The 27,789-nt window shown below is 39.1% G+C and overlaps 2 protein-coding genes across 10 annotated transcripts in view; both read left to right on the top strand.

The window, feature by feature from the left end:
- TRDMT1 (tRNA aspartic acid methyltransferase 1) overlaps positions 1–12,155 on the top strand; it is a 64,337-nt gene extending 52,182 nt beyond the window's left edge. For 5 of the 8 annotated variants that reach the window (NM_001321006.2, NM_001351221.2, NM_001351219.2 and 2 more), the window contains one exon: positions 351–12,155. In NM_001321006.2, coding sequence (NP_001307935.1) covers positions 351–451 — 101 coding nt within the window. In that variant the 3' untranslated portion in view covers positions 452–12,155. The remainder of the gene's footprint in view (positions 1–350) is intronic. The other 3 variants (XM_047424697.1, XM_047424695.1, XM_005252374.5) reach the window with 1 other exon arrangement.
- CUBN (cubilin) overlaps positions 19,680–27,789 on the top strand; it is a 305,846-nt gene continuing 297,736 nt past the window's right edge. For both annotated transcript variants that reach the window (NM_001081.4, XM_011519708.3), the window contains exons 1-6: positions 19,680–19,847; positions 20,241–20,370; positions 21,567–21,662; positions 22,692–22,730; positions 25,802–25,903; positions 26,593–26,696. In NM_001081.4, the coding sequence (NP_001072.2) occupies positions 19,726–19,847; positions 20,241–20,370; positions 21,567–21,662; positions 22,692–22,730; positions 25,802–25,903; positions 26,593–26,696 (593 nt within the window). In that variant the 5' untranslated portion in view covers positions 19,680–19,725. The remainder of the gene's footprint in view (positions 19,848–20,240; positions 20,371–21,566; positions 21,663–22,691; positions 22,731–25,801; positions 25,904–26,592; positions 26,697–27,789) is intronic.

The raw sequence follows: 27,789 nt of genomic DNA, 5'->3' as shown, positions 1-27,789 counted from the left end.
CATAAAAGGATTATTAAATCAAAGAAAGAACTGTGAAATAATAGCAGCCACAGCTTTTTTAAAAAGTGCACTAATACATGCATTTCTCTGAGTTCTGTGGATATTATATGTGTACATGTGTGTGTGCTGAGCATAACACATAATGTGATGTGTTACTATCTCACTGTGTAGGCAATATAATGTTATAGAATATTTTTGGCTCCAAATTCTCTTTTGTTAATAAAACTTCATGGAGACCTTAGTGATTTACTTATGAAATGACCGCTGTGCCCTTACTAAAGGATACATCCTTTCATCTCTGGAAATTGTGATTACAAATGATTTCTTTAAATTGTTCTTTGTCTTTTTAGGATTTCCTGAGAAGATAACAGTGAAACAGCGTTATCGCCTACTTGGAAATAGTCTCAACGTGCATGTAGTAGCTAAACTAATCAAAATCTTATATGAATAATTTTGAAATAACTCTGAAAGATGGTCATATGATATTCCTTCATTTTCAGAGAGTAATTCTGAAATTCTGTTTTGAACTAATTCTGGTGAAATTTAACTAAATTATTTTAATCTGTCCTTATTAAGAAATTTGGATTTTATTAAAAAAATCCATGTGTTTCATCAAATTTATATTACTGTATTTTATAAAATACGAACTATTGTTATGCTTTATGGAGAGTATATTTTCATATGAAACTGATAAATATATATGTGGAATATTCTTTTTAAAAACAATTTTATAAACAAATCAAGGAGCACTAGAGCTTTAGTGTCTACATGAGTATCTTGTGAAGTGTCATAACAGGCATAACATATTTTTATGTTAATTAAAGAAGTTTTTTATTTCTAATTTTAAAATAATGATTCTAATTCTAGCCCATTGAATGTTTTACTTAATTTCCAATCCTGTAAATATTTCTTTATTTCATCTAAACAAATGCATATGATATGTAAACCAAATTATCATCATTCAGTTTATACAGCAGACTGAAGAATATGTCAGGAAAAATAATCCTAAATGTTTGATTACCTCTCCATGAAGCGGCCACAGAAACTGTTGGTGCACATTATCTACATTTTCCTCAGCCTCTATCTGAAGGACAAAACTCATTTTTCCTTCTTCATTTTGTATGTACTTTCCTTTAGTTGACTATTATCAAAGCTTGTTTTTGTCTTCTCAGCTTCTGAGTTGAATTTGCCTTTGCACGCTGAGGAATGTAGCATGACGTTAAGATTTCAGGGAGGAAGCTGCCCTCTGATCCCATGTCATATGACAGTACTCCCCTCCCCCCAGTTGTTCTTTATTGTAGCAACATACACTCTCAATGAACTTTTATGACTTTTAACTTTCTCTGTCTCTCTTCCTCAGCAGACCTCTTGGAATTAGGGTTTCTAATCAAACTAAGTCTTGCATCATAAATTCTATGGTTTGTGATAAAAGCAAGTGACAAAGAGAAGAGAGATGAAAAGAAACAAGTCCAGAAATCATATTACAAGATTTTAATTCAAATTTTTCTTCTTAAAAATCAGCTATTTAGAGGTGGATAAATTGGAAGTTTGTGCATTGCTTGTGGGAACGTAAAATGGTTCAGCTGCTGTTGGAAAACGCTATGGAGGTTCGTCACAAAATTCAACATAGAATTACCCTATGATTCAGCGATTCCACCTCTGGCTATAGATCCAAAAGAATTGAAAGCAGGGACTTGAACAGATATTTGTACACCAGCGTTTATAACACCATTATTTACAGTAGCCAAAAGGTAGAAGCAGCCCAAGTGTCATCCCATTCACCCATGAATGGATGCAGGAATTGTGTTCCGTGCATGCAGTGGAATAGTACCAGCCTTCCGCAGGAAGGAAATTCTGACATATGCGGTGACATGGATGAACCTTGAGTACATTATGCGAAGTGAAATAAGCCACCCTGTGGGGATGGAGAATGGGTAGTTAGTGCATAATGGATACAAAGTTTCTGATTGGGGTGATGAGAAAGTTCTGGAGGTGGATGGGGAGGATGGTTGCACAACAGTGTGAGTGTACTTAATGCCACTGCAACTGTATATTTAAAAATAGTTAAAATGATAAATTTTACATTATGTATATTTTACTGCAATTGAAAAAATCATACTCTATTACCAATTTTTCAGAACTCATAGATAAATATGAATGTAGGGAAGCTGTAAGCCAGCCCATATACAGAAACTATCACTATCTACATTTTTCATATGTGTTCAGACAGAGCCTATTACAAGTCTCATAAATTTCAGTAAACAATCACAAATTATTTTGGCACACTTTCATGTAGGTTCTGTTCACTGCTGAAATATTCTAAATAAAATGGTTTAGAGTTTTACTGTAACTATGAATAATTATGCTATAATTATAGTATCCCACATTCGGTTGAGCAACATTATACAAAATAAGTGTCGAGTTACTGTGCACCAACTATAAATACTTGAAAGGTCTGTAGAGACATTTGCTTACAAACTGGTAGACAGAATGTAGCTTAGTGGAATTCTTAAATTATGGGAATGTATTCACAGGAAGACGGTGATTCTTGCCCTTAATTCATAATTGAAAATATGCAGTAACAAGCATAAAACTCACATCTTAATGAAGATGTATCTACCAGTGTCATTCAATTAGCAGATGTATATGTATGCATAATTAATTTGGAAAATGTTATTTTATGGAATGTCTGCTATATGCTTTTGGTAATAATGCTGTATATAAAATTTGCACTGGAAATTCTGTTTCCTGATATTTGGACTTGTACATTTATTCAGATGTTGGAAAACATAGCTTCTCATTTTCAGGAGAACTATGTGTAATTCAGTCTTCACCATACCTTACAGTAAACCGATTTTTCGTTCTCCTTTTCCCATCATCCCTGCTCTTTTAAACGGCTTGCCAGATAATTGTAAGGTATTTATTACCCTGCTTCATATTTTTAGTATGTCTTCAGGATCCAAAACTAATTCTAAGAGATGACCAAATCAATTAATGTAAACAAAATGAGTCATAGTTGGAAAATGATTTCGAAGAGGTGGGTAGTCATTGTAGGAGGGGTCAGAGCCTGACAATCCTCAGTGGCAGGCAAGAAAGAGGAATGATGGCATCACCTTCACAGAGGACCCTGGCCATGGTGTTCTGTCTGTGAAATCAGACCTTCACCATGGGCACTGCCCTATGTCTGGAAAGATGAGAAAATACCTCCAACCTTCAGCCAACTTATTCTTCCTCAAAAAGGAGAGCCTTCTAAAGAGGCAAAAACAGTAGTTGAAATTGTGAACAGTGAGGGTCCACCCAGCACTTTTTTAGAAATTTGAGGGTAAACTGTTGCTTGAAATTATCCAACTTTTCAAAGAGGTAAAGTTATTTAGTAGAGAGGCTTTTAAGTTGCCCTGAAAGGCTGTATTGCTACCATGTGGGATGTAAAATTGGATGGGGTTAGAGATGAGTGCAGGCAATTCAACGCATTGGTAGGGGTGGAAGTTCTCAGCAGAAATCACCATCTGGGTTTTTGCTCCCATCTCAACCTAGTTGAGGTCTAGAGTGATTAAGCTGGAGACTTCTGAGGAGAGAGAAATGAACTAAAGATAAATACAACTGATTTAATTTTAGCCATAGCAGAACAGAACAAAGAAGCAACCACATTTCATCTAATATCAAGCACCTACTAAAGGATGCATTCTGCAGGCCAGCTGCATCTGCATCCAAACCAAAGTCACTCTGGTTGCTCTTTTGCTTTGATAACTTAAGAGTTTAGAAACAAGCGGTTTCTAAAAAAGCCAAGATAACACAATAAGGACCAAATTTTAATCCCACATAGACAAAGAGATTAAAGTGGGTTTTCCTGAATTGCTTATGTTATGAACAGGTTACCTTGTCATAATTTGGCCTTCGGCTTGGGATTCTAACTGTTTTAGGCCACCAGTTATGACACTGACTTACTAATAGCTTTGGACTTTGAAACTGTGTGAGGGTCATATAGCCTCAGCAGTTTTCTTGTAGCCTGTGATTGCATTGAGATTATATAATTTTTAAAGACATGGCCTTTGGACCTCTGTCTACTAGTTAATCTCTTCCATCTACCATTCAAATGTGCTATATACAACTATCATATCAGCTTCTTAGCAAGCACTTTTCTGGACCTCTGTCACACCCACCAAGATGTCTAGTTATGCCTTTCATTTGAGAGTTTCCCTTTGCTGTTTTTTTTGTTTTGTTTTGTTTTGTTTTGTTTTGTTTTTGAGACTGAGTCTCGCTCTGTTGCCTAGGCTGGAGTGCAGTGGCGTGATCTCGGCTCACTGCAATCTCCCCCTCCTGGGTTAAAGTGATTTTCCTGCCTCAGCCTCCCTAGTAGCTGGGATTACAGGCGCATGCCACCACACCTAGCTAATTTTTGTATTAGTAGAGATCGGGTTTCACCATGTTGGCCAGGCTGGTCTCGAACACCTGACCTCAAGTTAATCCACCCACCTTGGCTTCCCTAAGTGCTGGGTTTTACAGGCATGAGCCACCACGCCCAGCCTCCCTTTGCATGTTTTTTAAAAAGGCATTAAGCATCTTGCACATGTTCTTTAGTTTCAGTTTGCATGAGTCAACCTGTGTGCATCATTTTCCCTTTCACTATTTCTTGTCTTTGCTGGTGAAATTTTAAAGCTTCAGTTTAAAAAAAAAAAGAAAAAGTATTTTTTGTTGTTGTTGTTTCTAGCTTCCGTTTCTCTCTTTAGGCTGTCTAGGAACATTTTAAGGTACTCATGCTCTTCAAAATCTTACACAATCAAGATCCAAACTCCATCACCATTCATGTCTTAGCTTGTGAATTTATTTCTTTTTAAATATATTTGTTCAAGAAATATGAGCATGTACAATGAGCTGTTTTGGCTTTGTATTCCCCAAGTTCTCATATACATTGGCTTTATATTTACCATAGATTCTGAGTCTTACTTTCAGCCACATCCAGCACTTACTGAAGTCTCCCTCAAGTACACCACACTTGACTCCTAAAGCTTCCAAAATCTCATTTTTCCTATAAATATGAGACCGGAAATTTTCACAAAAATTACAAGATAGGAACTGAGTTCTCCCATAGAACTCTTTTCTGAATAAGCCTAGGGTTTTTTCATTTCTTTGCTTGTACCTAGCATGGCTTCAGTGTTTACTTCAAATATTTGCTCTGTATTTTGTTTGCATTTTGATTTCTATTTTTATCAGGACAGATTGAAATTATAAGAGTGTACATAGAGAACATGTTTGTTTAGCTAAATTAGCTCTATAATCAGATGAGATCACCTAGAGGGTCAGAGGATGAGAGTGAAAGAGAGAAAGAGAAAAAGAAGAGCAGAGGCTTGGAGCTGACTTATCTGAAGGTTCCGTCCTCAGGTCTCTTTCTACCCTTCACTTTTCATGCCATTTTTCTTAGAGATTCTCACCCTTTCCTACAACTTCAGCCATTTTGCCGATGACACCCAGATGACTCTAAATCTGCTGTTTTCCTAAGTCCTATTCTAGAATCTTCATGCTGGGACATTTTTAACTTGGATATCTTGCTATTCAAGTTGTATCGGATTTGCATCAAATTTAGCATGCTTGCAACCTAAGCACACTCCATTCTATAGTCAGTTCCACTCTTGACTTTAATATTTATGGTACGGTTAGTCTCCACATCTTCCAAGTTCAAGCTTCATAACCAAAGATCATCTTCACCTTCCTTCTCACTCTGCATTCCATTGGTCAGCTTCTGTTAAAATGGCCTTCCTAAGGCAGGCCTCTGAACGATCATTTATTTTTAGGAAAACTTATAAAAAGTCACTGAGATTTAAAAACACCCACACATATATTTGCAATCATATTTGTGTGCTTGGTTAAACATGTCAACATTTAACAGATTTGAGCCTTCTAAATTTAATCCAGCATGAATGTCGTTTTTACTAAAATATTTGCTATTTTACTCACTTAGCTGGTTCCTTACACAAGTCCAGTTAAATTTCACATGTGAAAAAAATGACTGAAAACACTGAATGGAATGTGATACTCCTTGTGTAGTAGAAATGAGTTGACTTTCATATTTAAGAGCTGATCCTATGAATGAGTAGACAATAAGCTGAATAGCTGTTACGATCTGAGTTTTAAAAATGGAAAATGTTTCATGTTTTAGAGAATGTAAACTTCCACAAGGGCAGAGATTGTTAATACGTTGTCCCCCCAGTGACTTAAAACAGTACTGGCACATAGTAAGCACTCAATAAATAGTTGTTGAATGAGTGAATGTAGGAACCATACTGGAATCAATATTGAAGCTACATAGAAAGCACCACACTGTGGAGTTCAAACAATGTCTTTAAGTTGTTCTCTTGAAAACTATTTAATTTGTCTGTTACTGCCACTTCTTCCATGCCCAGAGGAACAGCCAAAGTTACTCAAGTCTGGAACACATGATTTAAAAAATAATTCTGGGATAGGCTTTTGGCTTTTGGAAAGTAGCGCAAATAAAACTTTTTAAAATACTGTATTCTGACTTCTGGTCTTGACAAGAGAGTGTAGATTTATTTCTCCCTGCTCCTCCCTGAAAAGTGTAATTATAAACTCTGGGTAAGTATAATTATAAAATAATGCAAGAGGAATCAGAAGGAGAATTCTGAAAGGTGGGACCAGGAAGACACACTGCGGAGGGACCCCAAGACTAGAGGAACAACATGGTTCCAAGACATCTGACCCCTCACCCAACAGAGGAAGGTTACCCAGGCTTGATGTTTCCCGACCTACAACCACACAATAGAAGACAGCCCAGAGAGGCTCGTTCCTACAGAAGAGGGAACTGAAGTCTGGTCGGTAATACCAGATGAGTCTGGCTCTACCAGCACGGGGGTATATCAGGAATCCCACTGACAAACATCCAGACCTGAGACTTGTCTTTTGTGCTGAGAGATGAGCATCCAGGGGCCTCTGGCAAAAAGCATCTAACCCAGGAAGATTTTTTATTACCCTGAGCCTGAGACTCCCTTCTCCCAGAGATACCATGGGACCTGGCTTGGGAGAAAATCCTTCTTTCCCTAAAGTAGCATCATGAAGGACCATTCGGGAACCCCAGCAGCACCAGATAAACCAAGCAGACCAAAATAACACTGCAAAGGCTTTAAAAACTAAATTACCACTGGACTCATAGCCCACAAAAACTAAGCCAGGGCTTGCATGCTAAACACAAATGGAGTGACTGCCTACTAAAAATAAAAGATTAAAATAATAGACAAAAGGTTCAGGATACGATGTAAAATAGCCTGTCATACCAAGAACCAGAAAAATCACAACTTGAATAAGAAATGACAGTCAACAGATGACAACACTGAGACAAATCAGATGTTGGAATTACTTGACAAGGATTTTAAGCAACTCTCATAAAAATGCTTCAACAGGTAATTACAAGTTGTCTTGCCACAAAAAATAGAAAAGCTCAGCAAAGAAATAGAAGTTAACAAAAGAACCATTATGGTAGGTGCACTATATGCCAATTTTTAAGAATAGAAATAAATGGCAGTTATGTAACTGAAAAATAACCAAAATAGAAAACATTCTGTGGTAACAGATAATTTGATTAGATCCTGGACATTTTGTCTGTTACATTAACTTTATTTTCAGAAATTTAATTATGATGTGTCTTGGCATGAATTTCTTTCAAAGTGGCAGATATTTCAAAGTGAATGTAATATCCTGTTTGGTGTTCATTCACCTTCTTGAATCTGTACATTTATATCTTTTGCTAAACTTGAGATCAGTAGTAGAGAGGAAATGACAGAAGATAGAAATCAGTGAACCTAAGGACGGATCAGTAGAATTTACCTGATCTAAATGATAGGGCAAAGATAGGCTGACAAAAAAAATTAACAGAGCCTTGGGGACCTGTGGGACAATAACAGAAGAACCAACATTTATATGTTTGGGGTGCCAGAAGTAGAGGGGAAAAAAATGGAGCTGAAAGAGCATTTAAATAATGGCTGGAAACATCCCAAATTTGGCAAAACCTTAAAAGCAGCTGGAGGCTGGGCGCGGTGGCTGACACCTGTAATCCCAGCACTTTAGGAGGCGAAGGGGGGCAGATCATAAGGTCAGGAGATAGAGACCATCCTTTCCAACATGGTGAAACCCCGTCTCTACTAAAATCAAAAAAATTAGCCGGGCATGGTGGTGCATGCCTGTAGTCCCAGCTACTCGGGAGGCTGAGGCAGGGGAATGGCTTGAACCCAGGAGCGGAGACTGCAGTGAGCTGAGATCGTGCCACTGCACTCCAGCCTGGTGACAGAGTGAGACTCCGTCTCAAAAAAATAAATAAATAAATAAAAGCAGCTGGAGAAAAATGACACGTTGCCATGGGGCGGGGGACACAATTTGGATGACAGTAGATGTCTCATCCAAAACCATGAGGACCAGAAGGAGGTGGCATTGTCAACTATGAATTCTATATCTAGCCAAACTATCCTTCAAGAGATCTCTGTTTTATCTATATATGTATCGATACACATATACCTCTATGCAGCTCTTTACAATTATTAGGGCGAGCAGGTAGTTAACATGGAATTAGGCTTATCTGATATGTGAAATAATCAAAGATGAAAGGAAGACACCTAACGTATAGCTAATGATTATAACTGTGAAATTATTCATCTAAAAATAGATTGGAATAAAATAATGATAGCAGTTATGTTAGAGTAATAGCATTTTAATTTTTCTTGTTTATATTTTTCAATTGAATGTGATCTTTTTTGTTGTTTTTGTTTTCATCAATGTGGCATAATATTAGTTTTATCATTTAAAATGTTCTTTCTTTCAAAACACTCAGTTTCAAGTCTTTACTGTAGAGTCTGTTCATTGTAAGCTTGTAAGTTGCTACCTCATTTGCATCTTGATGCTATGTAATATAATCCCCTCCCCTGCTGACTTTTTTCCTCCAGAGCAGAAGCTACATCTTGCCCATTTGTGTATCCTCAGTACCTTTCTCAGATGCTGACAGATAGTGGGTACCTAATAAATAATTGTCCAATTAACTGACTTAGATATGAGTATGCTGAGTATGGTAATAGAATTGTAGGTTCTTTCATGGCTTGGGGGATTGTTTGAATAATTCTGTCAGCCAAAAAGAAAAGAAGTGCTGGGCATGGTGCCTCACACCTGTAATCCCAGCACTTTGGGAGGTCGAAGTGAACGGACCATGAGGTCAGGAGTTCAAGACCAGCCTGGCCATGATAAAACCCTATCTCTACTAAAGGTACAAAAAAAAAAAAAAAATAGCTGGATGTGGTGGCATGTGCCTGTAATCTCAGCTATTCAGGAGGCTGAGGCAGGAGACTCACTGGAACCTGGGAGGCGGAGGTTGCAGTGAGCCGAGGTCGTGCCATTGCATCATTCCAGCCTGGGTGACAGGGCAAGACTCTGTCTCAAAAAAAAAAAAAAAAAAAAAAAAAAGCACACTAGATGTTACTGGAAGAATATTTAATGCCAAAATTGTGTATAACTCCTAGGGTATTGTTTATGTCTCTTCTAAACATAGTCTAGGAATTGTTGACAAAGCTTGATTTAGCAGTACTTCCGTAACAAATATGGTCCAAGTCACTATAAAGAAAGCATACAAAGGTGTTGTTTTTTATAGATCTTAGAATAACGGCATTGAAAAAGACAGAAGTGAGGTCATCTCATCCTTTCTGCCATTGATGACAACACCTTAAATCTTCCCACAGATCTATGTGGCACTTCAATTAACAAATCCCCTGGGAATGATGCCCCTTTGTAAGGCATCAGCCTTGTTAAATCACTCCTCTAACCGTAAATCACATCCGTAATGCAAAGCTTCCTCTCACAAGATAAAGATGCCTGTGTGTACTGCTTCTGCGTCTATCTTCCCAATTAAAGGTACAAGAGGCAGAGTCTGAAGAGTGCCAGGTATCCCCAAACTTTGTTTTCTTTTTCTTTTTTTTCATTTTCCTTCCCAGAAGAGAACCAAACTGTTTTTTTCTTCCCCCCATCGGTGGTGACATCCTCACCTCTCTTGCTCTCCTCCCCTAATAGAACACAAAATATCATCACAAAGATGTACTTTCCCCTTTTCCTAAGATCAGATCCAATATAAGTTGTTTGCAGTTATTTACCACCTACATTTCTTCTGTCATTCATGCTGAAGTCTGAGTGCAATCAGACATTTTCCTTTGATTATCGTATGAATGGTGTCTAAATATTTAACTTCACCGCCTTGTTTGGGGAATTTTAGGGGTCACCAAGTAGAAAACTCATTTTGTCCTTTTTAGGTTGATTTGGAACAGGATGGCAGGAGGGTTCACCTATGGTAAACTCCGCTTCATTGCTTCACACCTTGGAAACCAAGCTTGGATTAATCCAATGGAGCTGCTGAAGTCCCCATTCCGGGAGCTGTTGGAGGTAGAGAAAGCTCTGTTGATTTTTTTACTAGCTTTTGGAGCCTTTAATCCTAGCAATTAGTATCTCCTCTGCTATGGCTGATCCTTATAATGATGCGAGACCCTCCAGTGCATATTTTATGTTTTCTGTAACATTTGCTTGAGTTACAATTAGGAAGCTGTGTGTGCACACGTGTGTATACATGTGCCACGAACACCCCTGTGCTCCTCCTCCAAAGCCCTATTCCCCTATTGCGTTTGTCCCTCTGGATTTGAATTTCGTTATTTTTTTCTCATTGTTTATGAAGGGATTATATTACTTAAAAAAAAAAACTTGAAAAAAGTGGAAAAGTTCTCCAAACTCTCAACAATCTGCTTTCTCAGGAAAAGCTCTGCCAAACCTCAGCAATTTAAATGTTAATGATTAACTCATAATTCTTTTTCATTCTACTCAAAGATAATTGTAGTCATTGTAATAATGAGCATGGAGAACAAATGTCTGCTTTATGTGCCTTGAGCCAAGACCACACTGCTTTCAAAAAGATCAGTTCATCACAGTAGTAGACTTGGTAATTTCCTACATGGTAATGCACTTCCCATGAAATGAGCAAAAGAATAGTTTTAAATGTACCTTGATTTCCATCATTATTTTATGTAATCCTTCATGGAAAATGAAAGAATTGGAACAATGTTATATTGCCCTGAAATTTTGCAGAAAATCACAAAACTGACATATGTAAATGTATCTTTTAAGCAATGTTACGTCCCTGAAAAAGAGAATGAATTAAGTGTCATGAAGGTTAAAAGATCGTTATATTCACAAATGTTTCCATTAATGACTAAAAACCAGATTAATTCTACAGTGTTCTGTTTTAAACTGATATGAAAATGAAAAGGGACTAAAAAAAGCACAAAAGCCAGATTGAAGCTATAACATGTAATGGGAGCTAGCATTAGGGGTGTGAGAATCTTGCCAATTTGTCCATCCTCCAACGCACCTCTGCATCTCAACCCTCTCCTCATTTTTATGACTCCCACATTGATCCAGTCCTCCAGATAAATTCAGCTGGCCTAGCAGAAATATCACATAAGGATTATTGCACTCAAGATAAAAGAACATCCCCCTATTAAAAAGATTAAATCAACATTCTTTAACCTGCCACTTAAGGCCTTCTGTCGATGTCTCTTCCTTTACCCAGCCACTTTCCTTCAAGGTCACCCTGCTGGACAAGTGGAACAACCTTTTTTTTTTTTTCTTTTTTTTTTGGCAGAGTTTCGCTCTGTCACCCAGGCTGGAGTGCAGTGGCTCTCGGCTTGCTGCAACCTCCACCTCCTGGGTTCAAGCGATTCTCCTGCCTCAGCCTCGCCTCCTGAGTAGCTGGGACTACAGGTGTGTGCCACCATGCCCGGCTAATTTTTTTGTATTTTTAGTAGAGACAGGGTTTCACCATTTTGGCTGGTCTCAAATTCCTGACCTCAAATGATCAGCCCGCCTTGGCCTCCCAAAGTGCTGGGATTACAGGTACGAGGCACTGAGCCCGGCCAGTGGAACCACTTTCTATAGTGTGCCCATACTGGGCCTTGGACATCTTTCCTAGTTTGGTACCTGCTGTTTACTTAACAGCATGCTACTGTGTATCTGTGCCATCTTGTCACACTTGTCTTTGTAATGTTGCCTAACTCTGGCTCTCCAGATTTGTACATTACGACTTTATTGTAAATCAGAGAAGGTCAATAAATTTACTTCTTTCAAATTTCCCCCATGGTCAAGGACTTCGTATGTCTTCACTAAATGCTTATTAAGCCTCTAAAACAATGGAATTTAGATAAAGCTGGTAGGAATAAAAAGTGAACATTGGTATAAAAAACAGCAGTGAAATATACTAATGTGGCAATGAGATGCTCTTCAAGAATTTGGAGAAAAATACAGAAAATAAGAGGGTAAGTAAAGTCTGTACACTTAGTATAAAATCTCCAGTCACCTCTACTAGTCCAGGTAGAAGACTGGAGAATTTTTTTCTGAACGTCTCCAGGGCAAGATGCCTTCAAAGATGGGCATTTGGGGTTCCCCAGTGAAATTGTCAGTTTGCCATTCGGTTGCTCTGTGGCAAAGCCTACCAGTTATAATCGCCACCCATGCACACAGAGCCTACCATCCATTCTGTAATGTGTTATTTTTAAATGTCAATGAACATATAAGGATCCATAGGTATTTGAGGAAAGCCTCTAGCATGAATTAGAAAGACCTAAACCAGCAAACAAATGGGAGAAAAACAACTTAGAGAAAACAGAGCCCATACAGGAAACAAGAAAACATCAAAAAGCAACTATCTAAAAATTACTAGATGATGTTACAACTACGAAACAAGAGCAAAAATCAAAAAAGGGGTTTTCAAATTTAAAATGATAGCAACATTTTAAAACAAATTACTAGAAAATTAAAAGATAAATACTTTCTCAGAAAGTATAACAAAACAAGACAAAGAGGTGGAAAATAGAAAATTATTTAAAAATTGGAGAATCAATCTAAGAAAAATGTAGAAATGGAAATGCAGACGCAATGGCAGGGACCACTTGACTCTCGTCATGAGTGAAGGTGTCTTTGTGCTCCTAGGTCACTTTAATGAGTGTACAGATAATTGGCAGGGAGGAGGATCTTTGTAAAATGAAGATTCTAATTCAGCAGGTTGGCAGTAGCACCTGAGATTTTGCATTTCTGACACGCTCCTGAGTGACGCCTGTGCTGGGTCTGTGGACCACACTTGGAGTAGCAAGGTTCTAGTCTACGCCATCTCTACATCTTCCCCACTCCCATCTTAGATGGTTAAACCACTTGCAGAGAGTGAGGCCTGTGAAGCAGCAGAGTGGTTGATATTCCTTAGAGCTCTATGTATCCAAATCTGAACTATCTTTCCTCCAAAATCTTCTTCCCCTGATTATTCTCTTACTCAATTAATGACATCTCTTTCCTTCCAATTCCAATTTTCCAAGCAAGAAACCTCTGTTCTTTTTTTTTTTTTTTTTTTTTTGAGACAGAGTCTCCCTCTGTTGCCCAGGCTGGAGTGCAGTAGTGCATAGTGCAATCATGGTTCACTGCAGCTTCCGCCTCCCAGGTTCAAGTGATTCTCCTGCCTCAGCCTCCTGAGTAGCTGGGACTACAGGTGCCCGCCACCACGCCTAGCTAATTTTTGTATTTTTAGTAGAGACAGGGTTTCACCATGTTGGCCAGGCTGATCTTGAACTCCCGACCTCAAGTGATCTGCCTGCCTCGGCCTCCCAAAGTGTCAGGATTACAGACATGAGCCACTGCACCCGGCCAACTTCCCCCTCTAATAGTTCTAATGAAATATTAACTACCCAAGTATTTCTGTAGCCTGTTTTCTGAATATCTTTCTCACTGTCTCCTCATCTGACTGTCCATTGCCTTAAGGCTCCCCAGGTCACATCTCTTTAAGTGTACTCTAGGCGGGCCGATCATGAGGTCAGGAGTTCGAAACCACCCTGGCCAACATGGTGAAACCCCGTCTCTAATAATAATACAAAAATTAGCCGGGTGTGGTGGTGTGTGCCTGCAATCCCAGCTACTCAGGAGGTGGAGGCAGGAGAATTGCCTGAACCCAGGAGGCAGAGGTTGCAGTAAGCCGAGATCACGCCACTGCACTCCAGCCTGGGTGACAGAGTGAGACTCCATCTGCGGGGGGAAACATGTACTCTAACCTCCTTACCAACTCTGGGTCTCAGACATGGCTCCACAGGGTTGCTTGTAAAATGCAAACATGACCATGTTAATCTCTTCCCTAAGAGACTCTCATAATTCTGCAGTATTAAAAGTAAATAAAATCTAAGCTCATTAAAATGATATTTCAAAGTCCTTCTTGATTTGGCTTCCTGTTCATTTTTAAAACTTCATCTCCCACATATAGACACTGCTGTAGCCCTGCTGAGCTACTTTCTACTGAAAAGCTTTGTATACACCATTACTCTGCCTGAAACTCCTCACTCTACTATTCTACCTGGGAACTACTCAGATGGACTCCTGGGAAGCCTGCATTCCCCTTCCAGGCAGAGTTAATTCTCTCCTCCATTGTTCTCCAATAAAGGTCTCTCTCTCTCTCTCTCTCTCTCTCTCTCCCTCCCCCTCCCCCAACCTCTGTTTTTGTCCTTAGCCATATTCTGATTACCATGACCCCTTCTTAACCTTAAATTCCCCTCATATGAAATTCTAGTATACTGGGATTAACTTTCATGTATGTTTTTGATGACCACAGGAATTTTTATTTGTGAAGTCTGTGGGAATTATTTAAAGGAGGAGCAAAGAACTGAGCATTCAGAATATAAAGGGAGGAGAAGTGAATGTCACAGAAGGAGAAAAGGTTGCACAGAGATATCTTGAAAAACATAAAAAACAGGAGAAAGGAGTAGTTCATTCTGATTCTTACAACCACCTTCAGGTGGTTTTGGAAGGAGGGAGGGAGGGAGAGAAGGGAGCTAAGACTTCAGTGAGAAAGGCTGTGGAGCCAGGATGAGGAAGAAAGAGAAAGGTGAGACCATGCGACAGGACCGGAGCAGAAGTCAGCAGGTCATGAATTATGGATGAGCAGTACACTGAACATTTGGATACCACCCTCATTCCATGTACCATGTATGGTATCAGCAACAATGCAAAATACATTTGCATGTGTCTTGCTGAAGAAGTCAAAGAGAGTAAAGGCTGATGAGTGGAAATCAACAGTACAGCAGACACCATTATAAACTTAAAGTCTACAACATGCCATTAATGTTATCAGTGTTCTGACCTAAGGGTTTTATTTATTTTTTATTATTTTATTTTATTTTTATTTTTTGAGACAGAGTCTCACTCTGTCACCCAGGCTGGAGGGCAGTGGCATGATCTCAGCTCACTGCAAGCTCCGCTTCCCGGGTTCAAGCCATTCTCCTGCCTCAGCCTCCTGAGTAGCTGGTACTACAGGCGCCCACCACCACGCCCAGCTGATTTTTTGTATTTTTAGTACAGACGGGGTTTCACCGTGTTAGCCAGGATGGTCTCCATCTCCTGACCTCGTGATCCACCCGCCTCGGCCTCCCAAAGTGCTGGGATTACAGGTTTGAGCCACCGCGCCGGGCCCTAAGGGTTTTATTTTAATGAATGCGTACAAATGTGCATAAGGGTTCCTTAGGTAAACTCTCCAACTAGGTGCCCTCCTCCAAACACTGAGCAGCCCCCAGAGCAGATCCTCCCTGTCCGAGGGCTCCATTGCTAGCACCCCATATAAAAGCTTCCTCACCCTGGTTACTCAGTTCCACTCAAGGATGATACCGTTTCTTTTGGATTGCCTGCTCTTCAAAACTCTTGGATTTAAATGGAATCTTGCTCTCCACCCACCAATGTGGAGTTGTTCTGTGCTTCCTGGAGTCACCTTGCCTTGTTCTTAGACATCAGTTACCTTTGCCTCACACCTTTAACTCCAGGTCAGCAATCGTCTTCCTCACTCAAAGTCCCCAATTCATCTCTCTGCTCTGAAATCCTCTTTTATAGGAGAAATGATCAGACACCCTTGCTTCTCCTTGTACCCAAGATTATAAAGACAGCTGTGAATTCTTTTTGTCATTTTTTCTTTTAAGGAATCTAAACCCAAGAGAGGATACAGGAGGGTGAGGATTATTATATTTCTTTACATGATATTGATAACAGCTTATATTTAATGAACACTTATTTTGTGCCAGTAACCTAATGTGCTAAACATTTTACATAACTTCAGTGCTGTTATTATCTGTCTGCTGATGAAAAAACAAGGTTCCATGGTCAGTAAGTGATGGAGTCAGACTTTGAACGCACATAAATGAGCTTCAGGCCCGTGTTCTTAACCTTCAACCATGTGGTCTTCCCTAGACTGGAGGCTTCAGAGGGAAGAATCTGCAATTTACTACATTTCGTGTTCCTATCATCTTATAGATGGCTAATATGTAAAGGGCACATGCAGAATATTAGGGGAATGCATTCTAGATTAGGGAAGAGACAGGAGTTTTACTAGTCAATGAAAGATAGAATTTCAGGTCTATAGAATGTTTACCTTGGGAGAGGAGAAGAAGAGAGGTTATCTACCATATAGATCTGAAGGTCATAGATTCTAAAACTACTTTAATTCATCTTTCCTGAAGTATTTCTGAATAGAGTAAGTAAACAGAATGAGTGCCAATCCCTTGGAAACAGCAATTGATTTTTATATTGCTTTTCACAGAGTCAACATATGCAGACAGTCTGACTTGCCTATTGATCTGAGCTAGAGTTGAGTGAATGAGCTGGATGTAAAATTCCCTAACTCATCACTAAAAGTCAGTCAGACCTTGAACGACGGTTACTTTCTTTTTTTTTTCTAACATGGGTGACAATGAGCAATTGAATGCTTAGATTGGGAGCTGAGAGATTATCTTTACTTTGTTGAGTAATAAACACATTAATTAACAAAACAGGAAAATCCTGTCAAAGAGGAAGTCCTTATTAAGATCATGCTGGAGGCCTTTTCTATTGCACTGGAAAGATTAGCTGAGTTCAGTGGTCTTTAAGAAAGTATAATCATGAAAATAGTTACGTCCAGAGCTCAGAGAGTTTGAATTATCCTTTTGATTGGAAGATTCTAGCCCAGACTATTTTATCCTATTCTAAACTTGCCAAAAATTTCATATTGTCAAACTTTCCCTCCACCCCATGCCAAGTTGTTAAGCTTTCAAATAAACAAATTTATTATGATAAATTTCATCTCTATTGATGTAAAGGCTATTGGATATCTTTTCTTAGCATTTAGTTTAATACCAAATTAATATTTTGTATCATCCTGATATATGAAGACATTTACAAATATAGAAGAGAAATAATTTTAATCAGTTTTATTGTGCTGTAATTTACATCTGCCAAAGATTATCTATTTTAACTATACAGCTTTATGAGTTTTGACAAATTTATACAGTCATGCAACCACAATCACAATCATGATACAGAACATTTTCATCACCCTTAAATATTCCCTCATGCCTCCTTGCGATCAATCTCCTCCCCAACCCCTGGCCTCTGATTTGTTGTCTATCAATCAGTGTAGTTTTGGCTTTTTTAGATTTTCATATGGAATCATGTGATATAGAATCACTTAGGAAGTAGTCTTTTGTGTCTTATTGTTGTCCTTGAAAAATATTTTTAAGCAAGCAAAATGACTTGCCACAGGTTGGCAGAAAAATATTTGCAAAATACGTATTTGAAAATTCTTGTATCTAGAATATATGAGCTCTTACAATCAATAAAAGACAAACAACAAAATTTTAAAAAATAGGCAAAATATCTAAACAGACAGTTCACCGAAGAAGATAAACAAATGGCAAATATACATAAAAAGATGCCCAACATCTTTGGTCATTAGGGAAATATAAATTAAAATTGTAATGAGATACCTATGTTGACACAAAGACCTGTTCACAAATGTTCATAACAGCTTTATTTATAATAGTCCCAAACTGGAAATAACTCAAGTGTTTATCAACTGATGAGTAGAGAAGCAAACTGTGGGATAGCCATATGATGAAATACTACTCAATAATAAAAGGGAACCAATTAATGATATACACTACAGCACAGATGAATTACAAAAGCATTATGTTGAGTGAAAGAAGCAGATACAAGAGACATATAGAAGAAATTGGGAAGGTTTAAAAAAAATTTTTAAAAGCAGTGACTATTTGAGTATCACAAGTAAAGTTTTTTTTTGTTTTGTTTTGTTTTTGAGACGGCATCTCGCTCTGTCCCCCAGGCTGGAGTGCAGTGGCATGATCTCAGCTCACTGCAAGCTCCGCCTCCCGGGTTCACGCCATTCTCCTGCCTCAGCCTCCCGAGTAGCTGGGACTACAGGCGCCCGCCACTAAGCCCGGCTAATTTTTTGTATTTGTAGTAGAGACGGGGTTTCACCACGTTAGCCAGGATGTTCTCGATCTCCTGACCTCGTGATCCGCCCGCCTCGGCCTCCCAAAGTGCTGGGATTACAGGCGTGAGCCACCGCGCCCGGCATAAGTAAAGAATTATAAGCTATGGTACATAATGATCCTCTCCTCAAAGAGCCTACATAAGTAAGACACAAAATAAGTAAAACACAAACAGGCTTGTCCTGAAAGAGCCTGCATGGGTATTAACCAATGCAATGGTAATTACCTAGAGATTTTTCTTAGAAGTGAAATTTTTACAGCTCTCCCTCAAATTCAGTTTTGTCTGTGTGCTCATGGAAAGTCTGAGTGCATCAATAGTTGATTTTACAATCGAAATGTAGAATATTTTCATCACTCTCAGTGGTTTCTGTAGTCCCAGCACAGAGTGAGTGGGGACATCAGTGCTCCATGTCCTCAAACCATATATCCAGCTGGAAGGGTGTATAGCGCAGTGTGGAAAGTGGGAATGGATTCCACAGCCGTCCATAGGTCCCACAGGGATGATAAAAAGTAAAAAGTACAAATTCTTTGTACATTCTGGATATTAACCCATTTTCATATATATATGATTTGCAAATATTTTCTTCCATTCTGGGAGTTGCTTTTTCACTCTGTTGATGTATTTTTTGATGCACAAACGTTTTTAATTTTGATGTATTCCAATTTATATCTTTTGGTTGTCTGTGTGTTTTTCTTTTTTTGCCCATGCTTTTGGTATCATACTCAAGAAATCATTGCCAAATCCAAAATCCAAGGTCATGAATTTTTGTCCTATTCTTCTGAGTTTTATGTTATAGTTTCAGATTTTTTGAACCATTGTGAGTTAATTTTATAGTTTTAGCTCTTAGATTTAGATCTTTGAACTTTTTTGAGTTAATTTTTGCATATGGTATGAGGTAAGCCTCCAACTTCTTTTGCATGTGGATATCTAGTTTTCCTAGCGCTGGGTAAAGGTGGAACTCCTCTGCAAGGGAGGTGAGGAAGGAGGGGAACAGAGAAAGGTGTAGATAATGACCAGTTTACTTTTGTTGAAACCTAGTTACTTCTTAAGCAAAGATTGTTTAAGTGGATGTTTTCAAAGCTGCTTGTTACTGTTTCAAAGGTCAAATAGATAATGATTAAGTTGCGCATCACTTAAGGTAGATTTTGACCTCTCACAAGTTGAAGAGTACTGAAGATCTAAGATCATTTACATCCCTCTGGAAGAAAAAATAACATAGCCTTCTAGGGCAAAGAAGAAAAAACTCAACAGTTACAGGATATTCCATGGTTCAAAGTACACCTGCCTGGTTTGCTGTTCTCCAAAATCCCATGCTCAGTTGGTTGGAGTGGCCTCACTCTTACCTGCCAACCTGGGAGGTTGATGATGAACATGTCTTTACCTTTTCTTTGGAGTTTGCTTACCTTATTAATATTTGCTGAAGTAAATGGCGAAGCTGGAGAACTTGAGCTGCAGAGACAAAAAAGAAGCATCAATCTCCAACAGTAAGTAAACACATGGGTCATTCCTGCTCAGGGACTAGGCTAATTCCTCACCAGTTTTCCCAAATAGCCAGATAAACAAAGGTGCAATTTTTCTTGAGGAAAATTATGTTGAGAAGCAAACAGGGAAAAACATTTAGACTGAGGTATGAAATTACTTTCCTATGCACAAATTATTATCTGTCATTTTGCAAATAATCTGTTTGCAATTGCCAGGAGGTATCTCTGAGAAATGTGCAGAGAAAAAAGTGGCAGATGAGCAGGGGCAGTTGGGTTGAGATGATCAAAAAGTGAAGATGTATTTGGCCTGTAGTTATTCAGTAAGAAACTTTGTTATTTTGGTTTAAAAATTGTACTTGCTAATTACTGATGCATTCTCTCGTTTGAATTATATAGGCCTCGAATGGCTACAGAGAGAGGAAATTTGGTGTTTCTTACGGGGTCTGCTCAAAACATTGAGTTTAGAACCGGATCCCTGGGAAAAATTAAATTAAATGATGAAGATCTCAGTGAGTGTTTACATCAGGTAATACACTGGAAATATATTGAAGTCATTTTGTATATCCATATACGGTGACTTAATTGAACAAGTCTAGATTAATCTGTACCTTGAATCTTTTTTAATTATTATTTTTTATTAATACATAATTTGATACATTCCTATAATGTGTAAAGTTCAAATCAGGGTAATTGGGATATCCATCACCTTAAATATTTACCTTTTCTTCATGCTAAGAACATATGAATTGTTCTCTTCTAGTTATTTTGAAATGTACAATAGATTAATGTTAACTATAGTCACCCTACTGGTCTATCAAACACTAGGTCTTATTTCTTCTATCTAACTATATATTGTATTCATTAATCAACCTGTCTTCAGCCTCCCTCCCCCTTCCTAGTGTACCTTGAATCTTTAGCATAGAGAACATAATTGGGCATCAGACATGTTCTTGTAAAGGACGATGGCCTGGGGTTAATAGTGGGTAGAGGGAGTATGCTAAAAGATAGAAGCTCATTGTGCCAGACAATGCACCCTAGTCCAGAGAAGGCACGGAGGGTGGAACTGAAACTCCTCCACAGGGGATGCGAGGAAGTAGGGGACCAAGGATATGTGGACATGTGACCAGTTTGCTTTTGCCACAGAACAGAATTGGCCAGTTATTCTCCTGCCTTACTGGGTGTTTTCATTTCCCAATAATCACTGCATATTTCAGTCATAATGTTAGAAGTCAGCATTATTCAGAGCTTACTGTGGGCCATCCACTGTGCTTAGCACCGTATGGATGTTATCTCATTTGACCTTCACAGCTGTCCTATGAGGTGGCCTTTATTGTCACCCTAGTTTTACAAGAGGTAAAGAAACCCTGAAGCAGTTAGGTAACTTGCCCAGGACAGCAATAAATAGCTGAGCCAGGACTTAAAACCTAAACAGTCTGCTTCCAAGCCAGGTTTCTTAATAAGCACCCTAAACTGGTATTATAGGAAAACATACAAATGGAAAATACCTTGATCTATTGTTACTGAAAAGGATAAGTGGAATTATGCTGTGGCTATTTTAGCCCAGTGTTTATTACGCATGGTGTTGTTTTGGTTTTTATAATAATAGGCAAGATCTTAGTGCTTAAAGTAGAATACTACTCAAGTTTTTAATTATGTTACTGTAAAGATAAATATGATATTTTCACTAGTGCTCTTCATTTCTTCTTCTTTTTCTAAAATTAGATCCAGAAAAACAAAGAAGATATTATAGAGTTAAAAGGGAGTGCAATTGGTCTGCCTCAAAATATATCTAGTCAAATCTATCAGCTTAATTCCAAGGTAAGTCTGACATCTACGTCATAAGAACCGATGAGTTCTCCCTAGTTCTATTGTATAAGTAACCGTTTTGTAGGGGATATACCAACTTTGTGTGCTCTTTAGAGATTTAGCATGTAACTACTCACTGTTTGGTTAAATGACACAGCTGTAATGGAGGCTGTAGAAGTGATGGACAGAAGGCAGGAAATGCTGTGCAAGCACTTGTTGCAGAAGTAGGCCTTGGGCTGGGAGCAGTGGCTCACTGCAAGTGAATGGATGATTAATATAAAAAACTGCCTGTAATCCCAGCAGTTTGGGAGGCCACAGAGGGAGGGTCGCTTGAGCCTAGGAGTTTGAGACCAGCCTGGGCCACATAGTGAGACTCCGTCTCTACCAAAAAAAAAAAAAAAAAAAAAAATAGCTGGGCATGGTGGCATGAGCCTGTACTCACAGCTACTTGGGAGGCTGAAGTGGGAGGATGGCTTGAGCCAGGGAGGTTGAGACTGCAGTGAGCTATGATCATGCCACTGTGCTCCAGCCCAGGCAACAGAGTGGGACCTTGCCAGAAAAAAAAAAAAAAAAAAAGAAAGAGAGAGAGAGAGACAGAAAGAGAGAGAGAGACAGAGAGAGAGAGAGAAAGAAAGACAGAGTGAAAGAAAGAGAGAGAGAGAAAGAAAGAAAGGAAGAAAGAAAGAAAAGAAGCCTTGCTGAAGTTCTGAGAGCAATCTTCTTATTGGGGAAGTGGATGCATCACTGACATTTATGAACATTTCCATAGTCACTGCCTACAGAGAAGCAATCGGTCAACTTATCAGTGGGTTGTACTTTAAAAAAAAACTTAAAAAAACCCCAGAAATCTATGTGATAGGAGGGAATAGGAAGGAAGAAAATCCTGAGGGGAGAGGAATGAAGAGGAAAAAGGGAATAAAAGGAGGAATGAACAAAGTGTGTCCCTAGCAGAGGGCATTAGGACAATATGTCAAGGATATAACATCACATGTGCAATGCCTTTGAACCAGCTAACTGAAGCTTTTTCTTCCCTATTGCCAGCTGGTGGATCTTGAGAGAAAATTCCAAGGCTTGCAGCAGGTAGGTCTCATGCTACTACATACCCAAATCTTTCACAGAAAACATACTAGAATCATTAATAGAGCTGCTATTCTTATTTTGAAGGTGAATGGATGATTAATATTAAAAACTTGCTTTTTCCCATAATTTAATTCTCATCCCAGCATGTGCTTCCCAGGATGCAGATGCAGAGCTGAGTCTAAGACAGATGAAATGACAAGGCTGAGGTCTCCGAGCCTGTTAGGGCTTCTGACCCTGAGTTTGCAGCCCACAGCCCACATCCTTTACCATCACCCTTTAGCTGTGTGTGCTGTGCTTGGTCAGCTAGTGATCTCCCAACTTGCTGATTCTCCCATCAGGGACTGGGGCTCGGAAAGCAAGCATCCTCTCTGACGCTAAGCTCGGAAGTCTAGGTGTATCACAAAATAGTCCGAATTTTCTTAAAATGACATTTGCTGGTAATTAAACTTGAACAGTTTCTTACAGAAAACATTGTATAACTGTACTACATGCTTGTAGACTGATCTATGTAAACTTAGGCTTCTTACCCCTTTTGTAGGAAGCTGACCTTTTAAAGACTTTCATGGAAGCTGTAACCTTCTATGCAGAGAAATGTACAGAATCTCTTCATGTTTAAAATTTTGCATAAAAATCTGGGGATTCCAGTGTAAGAATTTCTGCAAAAATATTCTTCATCTGTTTTGCTCATGCTTCAAGCATTTTCCTCTACTTTTAAGTTTGATCTGTCCCACTGTGAAGGACAGATACAAAAAAAAGGACTCATGCAGATTGAGGCAGGTCCCACCATTCTGGCAAGGATTGCTGCTGCAAACCTTTTTGTCATTTGATGATCAAGTTCGTGTATTCCTTTTCTCCACTTAGATAATACATTGACCCCTCAGCTGTCATTTTTAAGAGAGTAGTTAAGCGAAAGAAAATGAGTAAAGAATAGTGCTGTGGACCGTGACACTGCACTCAAGTTTTGTCTCCTGGAGGGCTTCATTATATTCGCTCAGCCAGTCCTCCTACCCTCATCCCTCAGGAGGAATGTTGAATGATTTTCAAATGTGAATGCTTTGTGCCTTTGGATAGGGCAAATGCTCTCTGGCCACCACAGTCCCCACCACTCCCTATTGTCTTCCTCCTGACTCCTGATTTCATTTTCTACTAGGCCCCTGTAGGCTTTTAAGATTTTAGTCCCCAGACAGTGTTGCTTTTGTCTGACAGAAAACCTTTGAATGAGTTTGTGGTTAATGTTTTAAAGAGCATTCTATGATGGACAGAGCCAATTGTTGTGCTAGCACAAAGAGAAAAATAGAATAATGGAATAAAACAGGGTTCATAAAGAGACCCCCAGACGTGTGGTCATCTAATTTATGACCAAAGTGGAGAAGGAATGTGCTTTGCAGAAAATGGTATTGAGTCAGTTGGCTATCCTCTGGCTTTCTATTTCATCCATAAAATGAAGGAAACAGACGTAATTTTTTTTTATGAGTCACTGTATATAGTATGTTGTATTTGTATGTGTGTGTGTATGTATGTGCATATATATAGACACATATATAATATATATGTATGTGTGTGCATACATATATATGAAATGTAATCAACAGTTTGCCCCTATTTTAACTTTTTAAAAGCAGAGAATTAGGTTGGGTACGGTGGCTCACGCCTGTAATCCCAGCACTTTAGGAGGCCGAGGCAGGTGGATCATGTGAGGTCGGGAGTTTGAGATCAGCCTGGTCAACATGGTGGAACCCTGTCTCTACTAAAAATAGGAAAATTAGCCAGGCGTAGTGGGACATTCCTGTAGTCCCAGCTACTGAGGAGGCTGAGGCATGAGAATCGCTTCAACCCAAGAGGTGGAGGTTGCAGTGAGCTGAGATCATACCACTGCACTCCAGCCTGGGTGACAGACCGAGGCTCCATCTCAAAAACAAACAAACAAACAAAACAACGATACCAACCAAAACCCAGACAATTGGACTATGAGTGAAATTCATAAAGTGGCCATCATTGCATAATCAAGTGTTCCCTCTAAAGAAGTTTTCTCTGGCTGGGCGCGGTGGCTCACACCTGTAATCCCAGCACTTTAGGAGGCTGAGGCGGGCGGATCACGAGGTCAGGAGATCGAGACCATCCTGGCTAACACGGTGAAACCCCGTCTCTACTAAAAATACAAAAAATTAGCTGGGCGTGGTGGCGGGCGCCTGTAGTCCCAGCTACTTAGGAGGCTGAGGCAGGAGAATGGCATGGACCCAGGAGGCAGCGCCTGCAGTGAGCGGAGATCGCGCCACTGCACTCCAGCCTGGGCGACAGAGCAAGACTCCGTCTCAAAAAAAAGAAAAAAAAATCAAAAAGAAAAGAAAAAAGAAAAAAGAAAAAAAAGAAGTTTTCTCTGCACCCAAAGGCAGTAAAAATCTTAACAAGATTCAAACTGGTAGCTGACATAGGGTCAGATTCCCCAGGTTATGTAGATGTAGATGTAGACAAAGGTAGGTCTGTTTGTGATCTGGGCTGAAAGCAGTCAGGTGAGCACCAGGGTGAAAGATATGTCTTAGCTGGCCACATTTCTAACAAAGGGACTTGGAGCAGGAGTTCAGTCACCTTAACCCATGGGAGGAGGGGCAGCAGCAGCAGATGATTATATTTCAAAGGCTCACCTCGAGGGACCAAAGATAAGAATCACCGGTAAAATAACCGGAATCTCCATTTTATTTTCTTTGTGCAATAGCAACATCCATTATTATTTCCACACCTGAAACCTTTACTCCTGTCCACTGAGGTCTCTTTCTCAGGTGAGAATAATACTTTTCCAAGACAAAGTGAGAATCTTCTCCCCTCAGACTTCATCCCACCCGTGGTCAAAAGCATGCTGAGAGTTAAGGAATAGGAACAAGATTGATAATAGAAAATGCTTTCTGTTTTTTCACAAGAGAGGTGATTTGAAGAAGAACATAAGTAATGGCTTTAAAGTGTAGAAGGAGACCCCCACTGATTAAGAGTTAAATGTAATCCCACGTGCACGGTAACATGCGTTTTGTTGCTGCTGACTGCAAGTCATCTCATTGACTGTCCTGTTTTTGTTTCAGACTGTTGACAAAAAGGTTTGCAGCAGCAATCCTTGCCAGAATGGTGGAACCTGCCTCAATCTGCATGATTCCTTTTTTTGTATCTGTCCCCCACAGTGGAAGGTGAGTCATCTACTCTTTGGTTAAGAATGATGGCAGGTCAGCATCTGTGGTTTCCTTGGAATCATCAGGCATATTTAATTCTCCATCTAAAGTTTCTAGGATTCTGTGGCCTCCCAAATCAAATTGAAATATACCAGGTATGCTAAAACCCAAACAGTGGTGAGTATGATTGTATAACCCACCAAATACTAAAGCCATTGAAAGGAGAGGTTCACTTGATTGGATAACTGCCTGGAAGAACACAATATTTCTGTTAACATTAATTTAAATTGTTCAGCATTGGAAAGTACCAAACAAATCTTGACATACCTATGCAAATTTTCTCATTTTCTTTGTTTGTTTATTTTTTCTGATAACGATGGAAACTGTCTCCAGCATGCACATAAAAAAAAAAGTTAAGTAAGTATTCCCAGATGTAGCACCACTGTGAACTGAGGATTCTATTATGTTTAGATAAGGATTCCTCTCCTGTGACTGCTGTGATCTTATGAAGAGCTCTTGTGTTCTATTAGGTGAAATCTGAGTTCCAGAGGAAGAATAGCCAGGGGTTAATATCAGTATTATTGTATTTGACTTTATGAGGACTTATATACTGTCCACGTATAAATCCTTAAACGTATCATGTGAATGTTCGCTCCAGATACCTCTGTGACCTTTGGCACCTGACTTTGTTCCTTATATGATCACAGGGTCCTCTCTGCTCAGCTGATGTTAACGAATGTGAGATTTACTCAGGAACACCCTTGAGCTGCCAGAATGGAGGCACATGTGTTAATACAATGGGAAGTTACAGGTAACTTTTTTTTTTTTTTTTGGTAAATATCAGTATATTTTTGAAGGCCTAAAACATCCCATAGTTAAGAGCATCCTAAATTAACTATCTGTATTCCACCAAAAGTTGGTACTCCATGAGGAAATATTTAGCTCTTGCTTAACGTCTACATAGCTATTTTTACTTAACTGAAGAAAAGCTCATGAGTCCTTTACTCTCACCCCGTGAAGAAATCCTTGCTCTAACATCCCCAAGGAACCGGAAGAAGGCTCCCGTGATTGGCACAGAGAGTAAGCATGGCCTGGTGCAAAAGGAGCTGAAGACTTAGGAAGAGCCGGAGCATTGAAGGGGAGCCACTGAATGGCCTTAAGTAGAAAAGGGGACACCCCACCACACCAGTGTCCCCAGCTGTACTCTTTCCATGTATTAGCAAGCTCATAGTTTTGGGTAAAGAGAGCTTTATTCAATGCTATGTCAAAATGTGACCATAACGAGGTCAAAGATTAAACTGAGGTTCAATGAATGAAGTAACTCTCTCTGACCACAGTCATCATTATCAGTACAGCTCTATCTTCTCTTCTGACTTATTCTGTCAAGTGACTTGTCCACAGAATTCTCCTGCTCAGCTCAGGCATCACTTTCTGCAGGAAACTTTCCCTTCCCTTTTTAAGCAGAGTGAGGCATCTCAGGGCCTCTATGTTCCCATCATGCTCTAGGGATATCCATCGTCAAAGCTTTGCTGATGCCACACACATTGTCTTTCTAAAAACGAAGTCCAAAAAATTAAGGCAGATCAATGCCAAACTTACTTTTGTACAGTTCTTTGAAGTCACCTTTTAAACTAGACAGTGTCTTTCCTTATAGTTTGGCTGGTCTCTTTTATTTTGTGATTTTTAAAAGATTAATAAATAAATTCTGCTATAGAATGAACAAATCCTTTCAATGCTCTGGAGTAGAATCTCACTGGATTGAAGAGCAATTATTTGCTCTCTTACTGGTGTCTCTGCTATCTTGTTCTTCAATTTCCACATAACAATATCCATTCTAGTCTTTCCAGCAAAAATGAGTGCAGTAATTTTGTTTTTTAAACCATCACTATTTTTTTTAAATTTTA

The sequence above is a fragment of the Homo sapiens genome, chromosome 10 (genome assembly GCF_000001405.40).
Source record: "Homo sapiens chromosome 10, GRCh38.p14 Primary Assembly".
Classification (NCBI taxonomy): Eukaryota; Metazoa; Chordata; class Mammalia; order Primates; family Hominidae; genus Homo; species Homo sapiens.
Note: the sequence above shows the minus strand (reverse complement) of the source record. Positions and strands in the feature narration are given on the sequence as shown.